Source organism: Homo sapiens, chromosome X, assembly GCF_000001405.40.
Source record: "Homo sapiens chromosome X, GRCh38.p14 Primary Assembly".
Taxonomy (NCBI): domain Eukaryota; kingdom Metazoa; phylum Chordata; class Mammalia; order Primates; family Hominidae; genus Homo; species Homo sapiens.
Genome location: NC_000023.11, coordinates 31,336,235 through 31,357,403, shown reverse-complemented (window position 1 = coordinate 31,357,403; position 21,169 = coordinate 31,336,235). Strand labels below are relative to the sequence as shown.

Below are 21,169 nucleotides of genomic sequence, written 5' to 3'. Positions count from 1 at the left end.
TATATGCCGTCTTTTTTTTTTTTTTCGGACAATACCAGTTCTATGGTATCTCACTGATGATTATTTCAAATTGCCACTTTTGTTCCTTGGAAATACTCCTGTGTTCAAATACCAGGAGGCATAATTATGTAATTACCATGTGAACATTATGCTACTTATGGGCCAAAATGCCCCTAGAAAGGAATGCTCCAATGGCCTCAGAAAATTTCTGTGAGAACGATATCTTCCAAATGTGGTATAAATAAAGCTCAAGAATAAATAGCTAAGGCTGGAATGTAAATGATTTAATGTAATGATGTTGTAAGGTGAGAGCCACTTGACTTTAGTTCCTGTTGCAAATCATGAGATACATTAGGAAAACTTTTAAAAGGGAACCTATTTTTTAAGATAAAATCTGTATCAAGTTACATCACCTTCCAGGCAAAGTAATTCAACTTTCCTCTTTTCTCTCTGAGACCAAAAAAAAAAAAAAAAAAAAAGGCAGAAGAAATGCTTCCTATGATCTCTTCTCTTCCTGTCACAATTTTCATAAGTCTGTAGATGTAATTAAAACTAAAGATTTTGACAAATGAAACAGGATAGGAGGTTGATTGCTGCTTTTCTAAATTAAAATGAATGATACCCTTAAGGTACTTGGGTCTATGAAGTCAATTTAATGTTGATATAACCTGACTCCATTATCACAGAATGAGGCAGTTGCATAAGCAAGAAAACCAATAAACAAACATCCAAAGTGCATTTTAGAAATCGGTGAGGTGAAAGATTAAAGGCTTAACAACGGACAAAGAGCTTGCTGTTTTGTTCTCTCTTGCCTTCCAGTTTGATGGCAGAGTTCATCAGAATTAGAGGAAGAATGTTCTTGGAGAAGCGTTGGGCTGGCACTAGGCTAGGAGTCCTATTCATATCCTGCCTCGCTTGTCTTGCAAGCATGCACAGCCCCTTCATTTGAGGCACTGTTTGCCTCAGCAGAGTCTGTGTACTCTTCTGGTAGGTTGTATAGAACATAATAAAGGGGGAGGGCTGGAGGAGAAAGGACAGAAAAAGGAGGGAATAAAAAAAGGAGTCAGATTAAGAAAGAAGTCAGCACAGAAATATAAAATGGAAGGAAAAAAAGCTGTGATGCAGGAACCTTAAAAGGTAGATTAAGGATGGTCTCAGATGGCACGGCATTAGTATCAATGCCATAAGTCACACAAAATCTATTAAGAATTATGCTCCTACTCAGAGTGAGTGCCATGTTAGCACTAGTTGTTTCCCGTGATCTATCCTGAAGTCAAACGCAAGAAACACTGTTTAACTCCTAAGTGCCCTAATGTCAGGAAAACACAGAAATAAACTCAAAGGAAAGACAATTCAGTTAATCTTTGCATTCAACAAGCCCAGGTTGTTTTGCCGCAGAGCTATACCTATCACAAAACTTCATTCCAGAAGATGGCCGGTAGAGGTGGCTCATGCCTGTAATCCCAGCACTCTGGGAGGCCCAGGAGAGTTTGAAATCAAGACCAGAACTTATCTCAGACTTTTTTTTTTTTTATTATTTTTTCAGTTACAACTCAAAAGAATCAGAATTAGAATAATAATGGATTTTAACTGAAAGGGATTACCATTAGTTAAAAGGATTTTAACTGAAACTGTAATCAGTCTCAGGAGCGTTTCCCGGATAATGTTTGGGCACGTATTTATGAGTGTTACTTGTGAGGATTTGGGAGTAAGAATGAACGAGGAAGTTCCTCCCCCAACACAGACACATGCACACAGAAACTGTACAAACTGAAAAACTTCAGGACAAAAACTCGTGAATAGACTGGAGAGTCATTTGTGTGCATATGTGTGGTTTATTTACTAGCATCACAGCACAAGAGTTTCTGTCTTTTGCTTTTGTTTTTGTTTTAATAGGCTCATTTGTGTAAGTGTCATGTCTGTTTCTTGCATTCCCATGGATATTTATCTAGGGTCTAGACAAACTGAGAACCAGAAAATCAAAACATACGTTCCTAGTTACATATTTTCTCTAGACTGGAGTAAACATGATTTATGTATGTAGTAATCAGTAAGATGTAGCTTGGACACTAGGAAGAAACCACATTGCCTAGCAGTGTATTTCCACATGGGGAGGTAATGCCTGTCTCTCCTAAACTTCTAGTGAAGATAAAACTCAAAGTAGAGTAATTAACAGAAAGGTCAAAAGACAAAGTGGAAGCCCTTGAGAATCTAAAACAAAGTTAAAGAACCAACATTTACATTTAGATAAATTTATTTGAAATAATTTCTAAGAGCCATGATGTTGTTATCGGTCCTTTTTCTTTCTTTCTTTTATTCTTTTGGCTTATTTAAAAGCAATGTTGAAGAAAAAATGAAATAAAGCTTATCTTTCACAATACACAGAGGAATGGACTGAGCTTTGGGAAACAGTCACAGCTTGGAATTAAGAGTGTGTGTCGTATCGTAATTTAGTTGGATGATTTGGTGCTCATTCATTATACCCAGAATTACGCTTTCAAGTCTACCGTATTCATACTTATCTCAGTGCCTGACAAATAAGAGGAACTCAAAAAGCCTTTCATTCATTCATCCATTCAGTATTTCTTGATCATCTTCTATGTACTAGGCATTGTGATAAATTCTTAACAAGACAGATAAGATCTCTGTCTTTGTGGACAATAAACTTACATTCTAGTCAATATCTTTTGAATGAATGTAGTGATATTTCTTACTGAAGCTAAGAAAGGAAGGTCTCTGCAAACAGTATACTGTCTACAGAACTCATCTGAAATGAGAAGACCAAGGAGAATAATATATAGCCCTCATAACTCTCAAATCTTAAATATGATTATTTAAAAACTAGAGTAAAACAAATGTGGAGGAGATTTGGACTTCAGGGTTGTTTTATAAATTGCCGTTTTACATTTTTAAATCTAGTATTATAGGCAAAATTGAATCTAAATGGTTTTCTTCTTTTCTTTTTTTTACTTTCATCATCAAAAATGGAAGAAAGGAAGAAAAGGAGGAAGGAAGAAAAGAAGGAAAGGAAGAAGGGAGGGAGGGAAGTTTTTCAAAAGCTTGTGTCAGGGATCTTGAAAAAGAAATGATTCATTCAAAATATAGTTGTTAATAGTAAAGATCCGTGAATAAACAGTACATTAATTCATTCAACTAATATTAATTTAGCACCTATTATATGCCAGGTACTGTGCTACTCACTGAGGATTTAGCAGGGAAAGATGTGTCCCTGTCCTCATGGAACATATAAAAAAGGACCTTTTTTTCCTGAGATGCTTTTACTGAAGAATTGCTGCAACCTAGATTATGAGTTCTCATGGACCAGATGGCAGTTTTCTGCCCATCTGGGATAGTTCTGAAGAATAGACCCTCGTGTATCAATCAAGGTTTCTTCCAGTTCTAAGCTTTCGTGATCTATGATCTAATAGTTGAAACAGGATGTATGCTTCCAAAAAGATGTTATATTTGTATTACTTTTATAAAAGGAAACAGAGACATGCCCTATTAATTCAGAAGAGATTGGGTTCCTCCTGGCTGTTTAAATCATTCTATTTAAACTCCTTTATCTCTTCTTTCTTGGCTCACCTTCCAAAGCTCACTCTTACCCCTTTTAGTCTCACTTCCCTTTCCTTTCTTTAATTGCTGAGACAAATTGTTCATCTCTAACTGGCTATACATGACATCTCCAGTTAAATGTTTCACTGTTAGGACAAATTCATTATGTTCCAAATGAATTCATACATACATATGCTATTTCTTCCTTTTCTGATTTTCATATTGCCACCAGCAATATCTTCATTCTCCCAGTCTTCCTTACTCGAAATCCAAGAGTTTATTTGCTTCTTCAGATATTAATCTCCAACACCAAATTGGATAGTTCTTCCTCCTTTCAAAATACCTTCTCATATGTACCTTCTTTTACATTGAATACAATACAGCCTTAATTCTAATGCATATCAACCCAAGTCTAGTAAGTTACAACAGCCTCTTTCTGATCTCAGTCTCAGGTGCCCTTTCGAATCTGTTTTACACTATACTGATCTTCCCAAACCCTAACTTTCCTCTAAAATAGTGAGTCATGTCACAGAAATTTTCAGTGGTTCTCTTTGCCTGCAGGGTAAATCTTGAGCCTCAGAGTCTGGGACGCCTTGCTTTGCATCATCGGCTTTCAACATGACTAACTAATTGTATCTCACTGTCGTCCTCAACACCACTGTTCTGCAGCCCCAAGCCTTTCTTCAGCTTGTCACTACTTCTTACCTCCAAACCTTTACACTTGCAGAGATCAGGGACTATAGCATTTGTTTTTTGCCTATCTCTTTCAATATTAACAAATACTTATAAAATGAATAAACCACCAAGGAAAGAACTGATTGTGCCAGAACATAAGACACAGGTATATCATTTCTGGCTTTTGCTTCCTGTTTTGTATATACCACGGTATATTGATTTAACATACAGCCAGTTAGAAAGATCTAATGCATGGAGGCTCTCGTTTAATAGATTATCAAATTTCATTTCCTTGCATAATTGCTCAAAGAATAAAGTGCTTTGTTCCTAAGTCCCAAGCTAAAGCTTTCGAGGACTTTGGTTGCTTTCAAGTTTTTCTCATTCATAAATTTGTTTCTTTATTTAGCCAGTTGTGCATTCAATCCACACAAAACCTTTCTCCAGTGATAATTTGTGGAAAGAAATATTTTATGCTTAATTCTTCTCGCTGTCATACCTTCTCTTAAGTTTGAGTTATGAAGATGGAAATTCACTTTGATCTCATTTTAAAATCTTGACAATATTGAATGTACACTGGAAACTACCACTGGAGCGCTCCTTGTATAAGAAGGCAAAATTCTTCAGAGAGAAGATTGGGAGTCTAGAATGAACTTTGATGCTGCATCGGCTCAGTCCCTATGAAACTAACATTCTTACTAGAGAAAGTGGCCTATGGCACAGTCATAATCCTTTACCATCTACATCTTCCCCTTGGGATTTCTTTCTCAGTATGTGCAAAGATTTCTGATCAGTGTCCACTCCCATATGGCATCTTCATCTTCTCCTCTCTACCCCCAAACACTCACATTTATCTCTAGATTGATTTATTCATGAAATGACCCATTCTAAATTTAGAAATAATGACATATGCCCAACATTTATTTGCACGCGTTTTCCCACAACCTTTCTCTATAATCTTATGGTATCACATTCTTCAAGACCAGGAATTGACCTTGCATTGGGCCATAAAATACGTTGAACAACTGCAGTTTCATCGATATGCACACTAGAATTGGTCTGCATTCAATAAACTGATTAAAGAAATTAAAAAGCCAATTACTTATTAAATATTTATAAAATACTTTTTTTCAACTTTAATCTTCAGGATAGCAGTTAAGAGCAAGACCCAGACTGAATGAGTTTGAATCCTAGCTCTGCCAATTTACTAACTACTGAAGCTTAGGCAAGTTTTTTTTTTTTAACCTCTCATGCCTCAGTTTTTATGTCAATGAAGTCGGGGGGAATAATATTAACTCCTATTGCAGAGTTACTGTGAAGATGAAATAACATAATTCATATTGTCATGCCACATATTGCTTAATAAACATTAGCCATTTTTGTATTGTATGTGGTGCCCTGCACATTATAGTCTATTGCTCTCCTTTTTTGCTTTTTTTTTTTTTTTTTTTGAGATGGAGTCTTGTTCTGTTACCTAGGCTGGAGTGTAGTGACACGATCTCGGCGCACTGCAACCTCCACCTCTCAGATTCAAGTGATTCTCCTGTCTCAGCTTCCCGAGTAGCTGGGATTACAGATGCCCACCACCACACCAAGCTAATTTTTGTATTTTTAGTAGAGACTGCGTTTCATCATGTTGGCCAGACCGGTCTCGAACTCCTGACCTCAAGTGATCCGCCTGCCTCGGCCTCCCAAAGTGCTGGGATTACAGGTGTGAGTCACCATGCCTGGCCTATTCCTCTCCTTTTATTAACCATAATAGTAGCAAGAACAGTAGCTGGTAACATTTATTGAGCAATTACCACGTGACAGAAACTAGGCTAAATGCTTTACATTGTATCATCTTATTTAATTCCCACAAAACCCTATAAGTTATATTATTTTCCACATTTTACTGATAAGGAAAGTTAAGAATAATTTACCCAGGGACATTGATTAGTCAAGGTTCTCCAGAGAAATAGAAGCAACAATATACATATGTATGTATGTATGTATATGTGTGTGTGTGTGTGTGTGTATATATGTATGTCTATGTGTGTGTGAATATATAAAATTAAGTATTATCTCATGCAGTTGGAGACTAAGAAGTCCCATGACCTGCTATCTGCAAGCTAGAGAGCCAGGAAAATTGGTAGTGTGATTTCAGTCCCAGTCTGAAGGCCTGAGAACCAGGGGAGTTGATGATGTAAATCCCAGTGCAAGTGCAGGAGAAGACTGACATCCCAGCTCAAGCAGGCCTGCAGGGAAAAAAGGAACATGCCTTTTTGTTCTGTTTAGGACCTCAACTGACAGGATGATGCCCGCCCACATTGGGGAGGGCAATCTACTGAATCCACTGAACCAAATGCTAATCTTGTCTGCAAAACACCCTCACAGACACACCCAGAAATAGTGGTTTACCTGGGCACCCCATAGTCCAGTCAACTTGACACATAGAATTAACCATTACAGACCTGCAGTCAGTGCACTCAGTGTCAGTAGGCATACTTGTTTGTTCCGCATCGCTTCTCTTCTCTTCTCTCTCTCTCTCTCTCTCTCTCTCTCACACACACACACACACACACACACACACACACACACACACGTACCACATTTACTCATTTACTCATCCATTTGTTTGGTCAACTAGTCATTAAACAAATATTTGCTACCATATACTATGTGCCTCCTGCAGAAAGGGTTGGAGACATTCGAAGAGAAAGGTAAACAAAAAATGGTCCCTGCTATCAAGAAGTTTCCAATCTATTGCAAGACACACTCATGTCCATATAACTAAAATGAATTATATGATAGAAGTGCTTCAGGTATAAACCATATACTGTTAGAATGCTGAGGAAGCCATTAATTCTAACCTGGGAGATGAGGAAGTAAACATATAAACACTAACAGCATTGATCTGGGAGAGAAGTGGGGTAAGAGCATTGCCGAGAGAAGGAGCAGCATGAAGAAGCCACGCACAAGAGTTATATTGGATGGAATAGTGCAGGACAGGCAGGTAGTTTTGGTGGGCTTAGCAGGTAGAGTTTGGGAGTGCAGGGTCATAAGGTTGGGAAGGTAGGTTTGATATGTCCCTCATGCTTTTGTGTATATAAAATAAAGTAAATCCTGCATTGTAGGGGAACCCCACTTGGTTATCCACGTATTTGGGCCAAGCAAAAATGGGCAAGTCTAGGGAGAGAGTGAAAAAATGAGATTGTTCTGGATATACACTAGGCACTTAATTGATATTGGAAGGCCAGAGTTGGTTTGAGACCAGGCTACCTGAGCCACTTTTCTGATGAGATTAACATCGATTTTTACCTCTCGGGAATTCTGCACACCACGGGAACTACCCCCTGAGTTCTGATTGCTCTGTGCAAGCTCTGATCAACCCCTAGTTTAGCATGGACTGTTCACAACTAAATCAAAATCCAGAGTTAGAGAGCTAGGATGCCTGGAGCCACCACTTATATTGGATTGGCAAAATGCCAAATAAGTAAGTATAGCATGTCACCCGTAAAATTATTCCTTTCTTCCCCACCAAGAATAGAACTCACTAAGTTGACAGCACACTGTGTCAATATATTATAGAAAAACCTAATAGGAAGAAAAGAATGGCAGTTTTCACTGCATGCCCCCTAAAGGTATATTTCTTAATAATTTCCAAGTCCACTGAAAACTGAATTCCGAAAATTAGTTTTATCTTACTACCCACCCTATTTTATCCCAAATTTAAGCCTTGCCTGTACTTCTTTGATACTTAATATTTTTTTCTTTGAGGTGGAGTTTCACTCTGTCACCCAGGCTGGAGTACAGTGGCGTGATCTCTGCTCACTGCAGCCTCCCTCCTGCCTCAGCCTCCCTAGGAGCTGGGACTACAGGCATGCGCCACCACACCTGACTAATTTTTGTATTTCTAGTAGAGACGGGTTTTCACCATGTTGGCCAGGCTGGCCTCGAACTTATGACCTCAAGTGATCCAGCCAACTTGGCCTCCCAAAGTGCTGGGATTACAGGCATGAGTCACTGTGCCCAGCCCATAATTAAATATTAATCAACCACTGGTTAATTAATAATTATCAATAATTAAATATCACTCAATGATTTATTATCTATTAATCAATATTGCTTCTTTAAAAATTTGTCAAAAACAATAGCCTAAGACTTAAAGACAAGACATGTCATTTCTGAGATTCTGTAGTCACCTATACCAAATGTCACCCTCCCTAATGTTTTTGTGAAAGTAAAGATTTGTATTTTTTTATGGTACTAATTGAAGCAGTAGTTCATTTGTGGCTGCCAATGAGTTGACTGTAAAAAAAAACCAAAATCTCATTTTAACATTGTCGAGAGAGGAAATCCTTTGTGTTTGGCCTTGGATTGATAAAAACGAGTCTGGAATACTATATACGGTAAGTGAATATTAAAACTAGAGTTATGAAATGTTGCTTTAGTGTTCTCAGTCTTGGAGACTCAAAGTATCTTATCAGAAAGGATACATTGTTTTAATTGTTCCTCATTATATAGAATGAGAGAACATCATTTCTCTCCTTTTCCTCCCAGGTGGCCGTCGAGGACCGAGTCAGGCAGCTGCATGAAGCCCACAGGGACTTTGGTCCAGCATCTCAGCACTTTCTTTCCAGTAAGTCATTTTCAGCTTTTATCACTTAACTTTATTGCATCTTGATTAATAAGAATAACAGTTGAAAAAACAAAAGAATTAAGAGTTGAATTATAGTAATCTTTTATCAGATGCAGTAGAAGCATAAATCATCCTGAAATATAACTTGGTTGATAAGTTGAGAAGGTTAGGAAGAGGAAGGCCAATTGGATCATTTTGTCCAGTCTTCAGCTAATGCATAATTGTTTCCTGCACTATATTCTCAAATGTTAACCATATTAATATTTTTGAGTCTTTTTGAAAAATGTGGAACACTTTGCTCAGGAGCCATGCTAGTATTCTCTGTATCATTATTCCAATGTTAGTATATGGGCTGCTGAAGCAAAAACATACTTTTGAGTTTTTAATTTCTGCCTATCAGTTCAGTTCATAAAGCTAATAATTATGATATCATGTAATTATAATATGATCATCCAATATATGTTACTGTGACTCTATAATTCTTTAAATAATTCATTAAATGATCCCTGCCTTATGAAATGAGTGACAATTCTCAAAAGAAGGCATACAAATGGCCAACAGGTATATGAAAAAATGCTCAACATCACTAATCACCAGGGAAATGCAAATCAAGACCACATGATATATCGTCTTACCCCAATTAGAATGGCTATTATTCAAAAGACAAAAAATAACAGATTCTGGTGAGAATGTGAAGAAAGGGAACTCTTTTACAGTGTTGATGAAAATGTAACAGTAAATTAGTAACAGTATGAAGATTCTCAACAAACTGTAAATAGAACTACCTTACCATCTGGCAATCCCACTACTGGTTATCCATCCCAAAGCTAAGAAATCAGTATATCAAAAGGGTACCTGCACTTGCATGCTTATCACAGCACTGTTTAAAACAGCAAAGATGTGAAATCAACCTAAGTGTATATCAACAGATGAATGGATAAAGAATATGTGGTATCTGTACACAATGAAACACTGCAAGAATGAAACCATGTCATTCACAGCAACATGGATGGAACTGGAGGTCATTATGTTAAGTGAAATAACCCTGGCACAGAAAGACAAAAATCGCATGTTCTTACTCTTGTGGGAGCTAAAAAAATTGATAATAAACATAGAATAGAATGATAGATACTAGTGGCTGGGAAAGGTGTGTGGGTAGAGGGGGAGATAAAGAGAGGGTGGTTAATGGGTACAAACATCCAGTTAGATAGAAGGACTACGTTATATCATTTGACAGCAGAATAGAGTGACTGTAGTTAACAACGATGTGTTGTATATTTCAAAGTACCAAGAAGAAAGGGCTTGAATTGTTCCCAATACATAGACAAATGACAAATACTCAAAGTAATGGATGCCTCAAATACCCTGACTTGATCATTATGCATTCTATGCCAGTAAAATATCACATTACCTCATAAATATGTAAAATATTATATATCAATAATAAATAAATACTATGCCTCCAAGTTGAAACCTCAGCCTATGGGCATTTCCTTTCCCTAACTGTTTGCATCCTTCCTTTTTTTTTTTTTTTTTTTTTTTTTTTTTTTTTTTGAGAGGGAGCCTCATTCTGTCACCCAGGCTGTGAGTGCAGTGGCGTGATCTTGGCTCACTGCAACCTCCGCCTCCCGGGTTCAAACTATTCTCCTGCCTCAGCCTCCCGAGTAGCTGGGACTACAGGTGTACACCACCAGGCCCAGATAATTTTTGTATTTTTTTAGTAGAGACGAGGCTTCACCACATTGGTCAGGCTGGTCTCGAGCTCCTGACCTCAAGTGATCCACTCGCCTTGGCCTCCCAAAGTGCTAGGATTACATTCGTGAGCCTTGTATTCTCCTTTTGTTCTTGACCTCTAGCCATTCTTTTTATTTACTGGTTTTGCTATTTTATTAATTATGTTTTTATAATTAATACTAAGAGAAATAACCTTGGTTAACTGAAAGTTTAAGTATTAGAAAATCCTATTTATACAATATTGCATATTAAATTGGCAAGCACCTGTTTTCCTCTGATTAATGTTAATTTATACCACTTTTTATTTGATTATAAAAGTATATGTGTTGAGTTTTTTGGTATTTAAAAAGCCATACTTTACCACATGGAGTTAACATCTGTTAGCATTCTGATGTATTTCCTTGTGGTCATATATGAGTATATATGAGGGTTTATCCATCATTTTAACGCAATTACTTTGTGCCTAGAAATGTTACAGATTTTAACTAGTTTAATCCTTATAGCAATCCCTTCAATCCCTTAAGGTAGGTACCATTATTATACCCATTTCAATGATGAAGAAACTGAGGCACACATTCATACAGCTAGTAGATGAGGGAGCCAGGATTGAAACTCAAGAAGTTGGCTCCAGAGTCTGTGTTTTTAAGCATCGCACTGTAATTTTACTTAATTTATATATTTTATAGAGAGGAAGTAATTCTGTATGATCTCCATTCTTCTGCCATATTCTTTCATTGCCATTTTCTGATCATTTCCTTTCTTTTCCATTCTCCACGGGTTAATAAAAAGATCCACGCTCACAAATACTTTAAAGTATTTGAGTAGATGTTGTCATGTGTGTCTCCAGTTGGCTGTTGTCTTTTTGAACAAAATTTCCTGGAAGGTGTTGGTCCTGTGTTTTTGTCATACATCGATAATAGATTAAGAAGAAGTATCTTATTTTCTGGACTGGCTCTAACTTTATTATCCGCATGTGGTCTAGTTATTTGGACACAGTTTCACAATGCTTTGGAGTTGCCAAGAAAAAGGGATAAGTTAAAGCAGTTTATCTAAATGAGTGGGATCGTGGCTTTTAGGAACGGCTCTAGAAAAATGATAAAGGCTACAGATTTCGTCTTCTGCATCTTTCCAAATCTCTGGTCTACTTAACTTGCCTTGGTGACAGCCATTCTATTCGATTTAATTGAGATTAAATGTGATAACATACTCCTAAGCGACTCATAAACCATAAATAAAAAATAGTACTATTATGAATATTAATTACTCCTCAGACACCAGGTATATTCATTCATATTTTCTTCTCCCTGACTCCCCCTCTGAATTCCCATGTCTTACCCATTAAAACCTATTTTCAGAAAATGATATACTCATTTAACCCAAGTGATAGGTAAAGTTTAATGTGTACTTCTCCTGGGTTATTTGCATTTTATTAGTGTGAAAATCCATAAGCCTGAGGTGGTAGAACATCGGCCATAAGCTCTGAGCTGTGAGGAAGGAACTTTGAGGGGCCAAGGGGAGCATTCTCACACCTTTCAAACCATATCACATCAGTGCCCACTTCCAGAAAGGTCAGGCCTGTTAGACACAGGTATTCATAAAGAGACTGATCTACCTGCCTGAATGGAGCCAGCCCCGGAAGTCATCAGTCTCTTGGATGCCCATGTGGAATATCAATATACGCTTAAAAGCTTTGCTTGCAGGTATAAAGAAAATACCAACTTGGTTTAAGGGATATTTAAGAAATAGGACGGTGAGACTAAGGATGGATTGTTTCTTTACATTGTACTTTTTAAAATTACAAAGGTACTCTATACACATCAAGAAAAATTTGGAAAGCCCACAGTACAAACAAGAAAAGAAAAAGTATCCATAATCCTATGACTCAGAGATAATCACTATCAGAAATTTGGTTTATATACTTTCTGTATTTCTCTTGTGGTTGCGTGTGTGTGTGTGTGTGTGTATCAAGGTTCTATCTTTTATTTTTTTATTTTTTTGTTTTTTGAGACAGAGTGCAATCTCAGCTCACTGCAACCTCCCCCGTCCTGGGTTCTAGCGATTCTCATGACTCAGCCTCCCGAGTAGCTGGGATTACAGGAATACGCCACCACGCTTGGCTAATTTTTTGTATTTTTAGTAGAGACGGGGTTTCACTATGTTGGCCAGGCTGGTCTCGAACTTGTGGCCTCAAGTAATCCACCCACTGAGGCCTCCCAAAGTGTTGAGATTACAGGCATGAGCCACCACGCCCGGCCTCTCTCTTTTCTTTTAAACCATGCGCAGATAAAAACATGCTACAGTTTTATGAGCTGCTTTTTTCCCTTAAAACTATCTTTCCAATATTTTCGTGTGTTTAAATATTCTTCTTCAGAGTAATTTTTCTAATGACTGGCTAATACTCTCTTCTGTGGCTGTACCAAATTTACCAACACAATTCTAAATTGCTCAATATAAAGATTATTTCACAATCTTTATTATATCGAGCATTATGGCTAATATCCTTTTTATACCTTTACAAATATCTCAGATTCTTTCTACAGGATAAATGCCTAAAGGTGGAATTGTCATGTTAAAGAATGTTTACATTCGTAAGCCTTTTCAAGTGTATTGCCAAACTTACCTCTAGAAAATTGCACCAGAAATTGGGTGTGCCATCCAAACCGTATTTGAGCTAGGCATGGTGTGGCTCATGCCTATAATCCCAATTCTTTGGGAAACTGAGGCAGGAGGATCACTTGAGCCCAAGAGGTCAAGGCTGCAGTGATCCATAATCCACCCCCCCCCGCACTCCAATCTGTGTGACAGAGCAAGACCCTGACCCTAAATTTAAAAAAAAAAAAAAAATCACCATATTTGAAGCAGGACATCTCTGAAGTCACGTATTTGCTACTATAAAAGCAGCTTCCCCCCACCAATGAATAAAAATATGTTTTAAATATTCCTCTAAGGTCATATTAAATGAATTTGAATTGATACTTTTTTTTAGACAGGCCTGAGTTGATACATGTTTAGTAATGTGCTTTCAGGTTACTATAAATAATAATAGGGTGGCTCCTAAAGCTTAGAAATTACAAAGAAAAGAAAAATAAGGAGGAACTACTAATTGCACCCGCCAGCGTAAACATGCTTACTGTCTCTGTTTATCTTATTCTCTCTCTCTCTCTGTCTCGCACGTGTGTGCACTCTCTCTCTCTCTCTCTCTCACACACACACACACACACACACACACACACACACACTCCCCTTTGGAAATTATTTGGAAATTACATTACCAGCTGTCTGTTGTTTATCAGAAGACAGAGGCAGCCTTTTACTAAAAAAAAGAATTCACTGTTTCTTCCTGGTGGCCCAATCTCTACATGTTAAAGAAATTTTTTCTTTTATCTTAGATCTAAGAGAAAATGAGAAGAGAAAAGCATTGTGAAATATGACCCTTCTCCGCTGATAGACACTAACTTGTCCTTACTTCTAGTTTTAATACACTGCTACTCCTAATTGACTTCTACAACTTAAACCAAGAAAAAGGAGAAATTCTAATAGTGTGACTTCAAATATGTATATAATTTACAATAAAATTATCATTTAAATTATTTAAATTATATACTAATTTATAGTTATATATGTATAATTGGTAGGTATATTGTCAGTCTCTTCATATGTCTGTGATTAAGAAAGTACTAAAGTATTCATTGGTTGGCATAGTAGTCTGAAAATTGTCCTTTTCTTTTGAAGAGTTTAAAGATTTGTTGGGCGTGGTGGCTCACACCTGTAATCCCATCACTTTGGGAGGCTGAGGTGGGCAGATCACTTGAGGTCAGGAGTTCAAGACCAGCCTGGCCAACCTGGTGAAACCCCCATCTGTACTAAAAATACAAAAATTAGCTGGGCGTGGTGGCACTCGCCTGTAATCCCAGCTGCTTAGGAGGCTGAGGCAGGAGAATGGCTTGAACCCTGGAGGTGGAGGTTGCAGTGAGCTGAGATCATGCCACTGCAGTCCAGCCTGGGTGATAGAGAGAGACTCTGTCTCAAAAAAAGAATTTAAAGATTTTTCCTGACCATTATTTCAATTCTCTGGTCTTCTGTTCTAAATTCTACTTTTCTCACCAAGAAAGATCACTATATATTTGGGTAAAGGGAGAAATCATTCTATAACAGTAAAAAGAATCCATGGTTTTCTTAATATTTTACAAGTTCCAGAGGTCCCTTAAAAGAATATTTTCCAAGCCAGGTTCTTTAAAACATTAATGTTATATTAGGTTTTGATAACTGTCCCTTGAAAAAAATAGTACTGATTAATAAGATTGGAAAAACACTAGGTTTCAAAGATAAGCAAGTTTATTTCTTGTTAGAATTCTTGGAATTTTTATTATACACTGAGACTCTAAGAGGATAAGGAGTCTATAGTTCTCCAGTTTTAGGTGACTGTGGAAGCCTTTTTCAGGCACACCAGTTAATTTCACACTAAACTTTATGCCATGGATCACAGTGAATCTTTGCCTTAATGTGGTATTTGCCAGATGCTTTAATGACAAAAAATTTCTGCTAAAGGTTGTAGAAACGTGATCCAATTAAAAAGAAAATGAGTATTTATGAGGCAAAAGGGTCAAGTCCCTCTCTTTACTGAAGTTCCCAGCCCCACTCCCACCCAGGAGCCCTCTTGTGCTGTGGAGTTTCCTAACTGGAGATAAGCTTAGAAAGTATCTATACCAGTAGTTTCCAAACTCTGAGGTGTGGCTCATTAGCAAATCCTAAAATCAGTTTAATGACTTACAACCAACAATTTTTGACTGGTATGGAATGGAATGGAATGGAACAGATTAGAAAATATCAGAGTGCATTACCTAAGCAAGGTTAAGTGTTGTTTTGGCGGTGGTTAATTTGTTAGATATGTGTGTACATGCGTGTGTGTGTGTGTGTGTGTGTGTGTGTGCGCGCGCGCACGCACGCGCGCACGCCAGATCACAGTGTAAAACGTTTTTCTTCTGTGGGTTGCAGTCGAAATAGTTTGAGAAACATTGAATCATTCGAGCCCTTTCCTTATTTTACAGATAATGAAATAGGTGCAGAACGATCAAATGACATAACCAAGGTCACAAAGATAGTTATAATACTGGGACTGGAACCCAGTTTCTGGACATCCAAGCCACACATCACACTGCCTTACCCGTTAAGAAGAAATGCCCAGGCCAATAACTGTCTAGTCTATCTGCTATTGCCAACGATTATTCTCTCGTATATTCCTCTTCGTTTGGCCATCCTAAGTTGATTTACATAACCTAAATTTTTCTCTCAACACCTCTGGGCTAAAAACTGCCTTATCAAAATGGTATCGATAGCGGTTAAGAGTAAAAGCTGTAAAATGAAACTGACTGGGTTCAAATATTGACTCAGACACTTTATGCTTTTTTCTTTCTCTTTATTCTTCATCTTTAAAATAGGGATAATAGTAACATATTTGGTCAATTGTAAGACACACTTTTCCACCCACGTTTCAACAGTTCTGAAATCAGAATGCACCATACGACCAATGGGATATTGAATTCGGTGAAATATGGCTGTATTATTTCATAGGGTTACAGTGAAGATCAAACAGTTAATATTTGTAAAACCCTTAGAGTAGTGCCTGGAACATAGTAAGTGCTATTCAAGTGTTTGCTATTAGCTTTAGCATTAGTATCATTATTACTATCAGCTTGATAGTATAACTTAATGCATGCCTGTTAGAGTCAAACTAGTCATGAAAGTTTCATTCATTCTCTTGCATTTAATGGTCAGTATAAGTAGTTCCTCTCCTTTCTGAAGATGATTTCCAAGGATCTAATCTGAAAGTCCAGTGTTTTGCACATTAGAACGGCTCAATAGTTGTTTGTATAACTAACGAGTGATAAATAATCAAAAAGATAGACCTTAATCTCTAAAATGTCAGGATAGTATTAGTCTTGTTGACAGTTATATTCTACAGTACCTAATGTGGTATGTGGTACTTGGTAGATGTTCAGTAAATATTTACAGAATGAATTATGTCTTATACCCAAAAGAAGAAGAGGTAAATTCACTCTTGACATTGATAATACACAGAGGCATGAGATTTAGCATAGTGGCTATCACATAGTAGACACTCAATAAATAATGTGACCTTTTCTGTTGCTTCTCAGCAAAGACTAATAGCATTCATAACTTTATATGGTCGTTTTTATCAAAGTCGACTGTACCATGTAATACATTAAGGGAAAAGGCTGACTTCAAAATTACAGCATGATCACAACTATATTACAAAATAAAATAAAAATAACAGAAATGTACACATAAAGGAAAAATGGAAAATAAAAAGATACCAAAAGACAAACAGTTATTGCATCATTTCTTTCTTTTTACTTTTACAAATTTTCTGGTAATAGCATGTACTACCTTTGTAATGGAAAAAAAACAATAAAGGTAACATTTTATACTCCAGCTTTTAACCAGTGACCTCTTGCAGTGGCAATGGGACTCTGAAAGACAAATTTCCTTTTTACTATTTATTCTGAATTTAAAAGCTGTTTCATTGAGTGACCTTCTCAGATTATGAGACACTGTAAAAAGAAATAACTGATCCATTATTTCTTGCAGGCTTTACAATCTTAACTGCCTTAATCATATCCCTGGTTAAGTCTTTTTCTCTCTTGTCAAAGTGACTCAAGCTTTTACAGTTTCTCCTTGATACATAGGGCCTAGCAGTTTGTTTCTATCTTGAGAGTTGCCAAGCTTTCATCCTGGACATTCCCCACTACACATACACACTTAATTTTAAAAAATAGGGGAAACCTTTAAGCACATCTAATAATTGCTGACATTTCACTTAACAGTGCTCCAACCTATGCTACCAGTGTCCTCAGGGGACAGACAATTTGAAATATGAGTGGGGCAATAATTTAAAGCTTCAGATTGGCTTAAATAAGCCATCATGAGGCCGGGTGCGGTGGCTCACGCCAGTAATCCCAGCACTTTGGGAGGCCGAGGCGGGCAGATCACCTGAGGTCAGGAGTTCAAGACCAGCCTGACCAACATGGAGAAACCCTGTCTCTACTAAAAATACAAAATTAGCTGGGCGTGGTGGCATGCATCTGTAATCCCAGCTACTCGAGAGGCTGAGGCAGGAGAATCACTTGAACCCAGGAGGCAGAGGTTGCAGTGAGCCGAGATTGCGCCATTGCACTCCAGCCTGGGCAACAAGAGTGAAACTGCATCTCAAAAAAATAAAAACATCAAAATAAGCCATCATGATAAAAGTCAGAAAGAATTTTGCAGGTCCAATGTGAGATGATTTGCAGGCTAAAATTCTCTTTCAAGTAAAATCTCAGGGTGAAATGATTTGAGCCAGTTTCTTCAGCAGTCACATGTTGTCCCAAGTGTTAGGAATTTGGGACAAATGCCATGTGACCTACCAGTGATGCTGATAATGCCCCTATAAATTCAAAGACAGCCTTTCCAATGCCCATAAAAAGCAGCTACAGCAGTAATAATTATATTCTCTTCTTAAAATGTGTTGTCATGGCCCTTTTCTCCTTTAGCTCAAATGTATACTCCCCAATAAGCTCTCAGATTTATTTGCTTTACAGTATCATTAGCAACCAGATTTTGCATCGTTGGCCCTATATATCCCATCAATTTGAACACATGAGGAAACAGAACGTTTTTGTTTCTGCTATGGGAATTTCTGTGCTGGGGCTGGCTTACAATGGCTCAAGAGAGCCAATTGTAAAATATACAGGAATTGTGAGCTAGTTATTAAGCCTACCTTTGGTAGCTTGAAATCAGGCATAGTGGGAAGATTTACTCCATGGAAATTGGCAAATACTACAAATTGGGGCACTTTGTTTTTTTTTTTTTTTTTTTTTTGTGCATAGATGGTTTCCCAGAAATGACTAATTTATCTATGTTATTTGGATCACTCAAGTCCCTGTAGGCAAAGAATCTTCATAAACTTAGCAGGAAGGATGCTCAGGATCCAAATATTTATGTGCGTTGCAGAGTGACCACTCATCCTGGTTTGTCTGGGACTTTCCCGGATTTAGCACTGGAATTCCCATTTTCCAGGAAATCTCTGTAGTCCCAGGCAAACCAAGATAGTTGCTCACCCTAGCCTTAGGTAAAATCCCTAGAAGTAGAGCCCTATTTAGATAGATGGGGCTTCTTGTAGAAGTAATTTGTTCAGGTGAAAGGGAGTGAGGGAAGCAGGATAAAGTAAGAAGGATGCTGGTCAAGGAGTTAAGTGGGAAGGAAGAGACTCACTTCAGCTTGATCCCACAGGGAGCTCTGGAGAACAAATTGTCCCTACTTTGAGATAAGGGGCCTGGGCTTTTTGTTTGTTTGTTTTGAGATGGAGTCTTGTTCTGTCACCCAAACTGGAGTGCAATGGCGTGATCTTGGCTCACTGCAACCTCCGCCTCCCAGGTTCAAGCTATTCTCCTGCCTCAGCCTCCCGAGTAGCTGGGACTACCGCGCCTGGATTTTTTTTTTTTTTTTTTTTTTTGTATTTTTACTAGAGACGGGGTTTCACTAGGTTGGCCAGGCTGGTCTCGAACTCCTGATCTCCTGATCCGCCTGCCTCGGTCTCCAAAAGTGCTGGGATTACAGGCGTGAGCCACCGCGCCCAGCCAGGGCTGGGCTTTTATTTTCCCGTGTGAATTAGTCATTGGCTGTGGATTTCTGGGGAGTAGGAGATAGCAAAGCAGTTCCCATTTGGCCAAGGGAGGATTTCTGGTGAAAGGACCAATGAGGCCTTAGCAACCAACACTCACAACAACTGCGGCTGGGTGAACCAGCTCAGTAAAAGGGATCTGAGTGGAACAACAATAGTATTAACCTCTCCTAGACTTTATGAAGCTGCTATCATACCCCATGCATAATCTGGCTTTAGAGCTGAATGGGCGCATTTAGCTGGATCACTAACCACCACTCCTTCGTCACGGACTTACATGGAAATTAGCCCGGTGGCATGGAAGAGATGAGACAAATGTCTGTTTCTTTCTTATTTCATCTTCCTCATTGTGACAGATTCTTCTGGGCCTCATGAGGAGCTAGGGCCAAGAGACCAGCACCAGAGTTCTGAATCAGTTTTATAACATGGGCACTATTTTGGTGGAATGCTGGCTCTGAAGGGTGTATTTTTACACTACCCAGAAAATGAAGGCATTTGTGAATTTGGCCTGGGGTAGCATTTTGTCATCTGTCCAAAATACAAAGCTTTGCACAACAGAAATAGTGGGATCACATCCCTGTGGGCAAGAATCATTACTTTCGTTTTTCCATTTGGATGTTTTCCATTTTCAGAACACAACCAGTTTGGGATTACAAAGTACTTTCTGGTGAGAACTTTGAAGTGAGGACAAAAGGCATTTTGTTCTTTAGTAGACTTACATAAACTGTTCCTGGTTTAAAAACCATTCTAGATTTTTAAATAGACTTTCAGATATCTGCAGTAAAAATCATCTTGATTTCAGGCGACTGCAGGTACTGCTCTGTTATGTGCTATGTCTCCTTAAGGCTGTAAGGGACAGGGATAGGCTTAGGTGATAAGGAACATTTTCAGGATACAGAGAGGCATGAAGAATAACATGGGCCGGGCGCGGTGGCTCACACCTATAATCCCAGCACTTTGGGAGGCTGAGGCGGGCGGATCACGAGGTCAGGAGTTGGAGACCAACCTGGCCAACATGGTGAAACCCTGTCTCTACTAAAGACACAAAAAATTAGCCAGGCATGGTGGCGCACACCTGTAATCCCAGCTACTCAGGAGGCTGAGGCAGGAGAATCGCTTGAACCCAGGAGACGGAGGTTGCAGTGAGCCAAGATCACACCATTGCACACCAGCCTAGGCAACAGGGCGAGACTCCATCTCAAAAAAAAAAAAAAAGAAAGAAAGAAAAGAATAACATGGAACAACAGACACCACGAAACATGTTTGCTTCTTTCTGTATATGCATTTGCTGCCATAGACTTCAGACTATTACAGTATCATATCTTCTCTCTTCTCTCCACCTAACACCTTCTACTTATAGTTTCTACTTTCTTATGACTTCCATTTTCTTCCTTTGTTATCCGACTTTTTAAACTTCCCCACCCATCTGTCATCTCTGTTTATCTCTGTGTATTACATTCAAGCTCTCCAAGACAAAGCATCTGATTGGATTAGTTATTTATTATCCATCTAAGGGTAATGCCATCTCACAGGCCACAGGCCAGACTGTAAACTAGGCTTTCTTGACCTGGGCACTATTGGCATTTGGGGCCAGATAATTAGTGGAATGCTGGCTCTGAAAAGTGTATTTTTACACTACTCAGAAAATGAAGGCATTTGTGAGTTTGGCCTGGGGTAGCATTTTGTCATCTGTCCTAGAATACAAAGCTTTGCGCAACAGAAATGGTGGGATCACACCTCTGTGGGCAAAAATTATTGGGGGCTGTCCTGTGCATTATCTCTGGCCTCTACTCACTACATGCCAGTAGCACTCCCCTCCCTTAGCTGTGACAACCAAAAATGTCTCCAGACATTGTCTGTCTGATGTCCCCTGTTGGGTGAAATTGCCCCTAGTTGAGAATCACTCC

General features: G+C 38.3%; 1 protein-coding gene and 1 pseudogene across 21 annotated transcripts in view; one reads left to right on the top strand and one right to left on the bottom strand.

The window, feature by feature from the left end:
• DMD (dystrophin) overlaps positions 1-21,169 on the top strand; it is a 2,220,167-nt gene that overhangs the window by 1,981,985 nt on the left and 217,013 nt on the right. For all 21 annotated transcript variants that reach the window (XM_006724469.4, NM_000109.4, XM_011545467.2 and 18 more), the window contains 1 exon segment: positions 8,770-8,848. In XM_006724469.4, the coding sequence (XP_006724532.1) occupies positions 8,770-8,848 (79 nt within the window).
• Positions 9,108-9,212, bottom strand: RNU6-894P (RNA, U6 small nuclear 894, pseudogene; annotated as a pseudogene).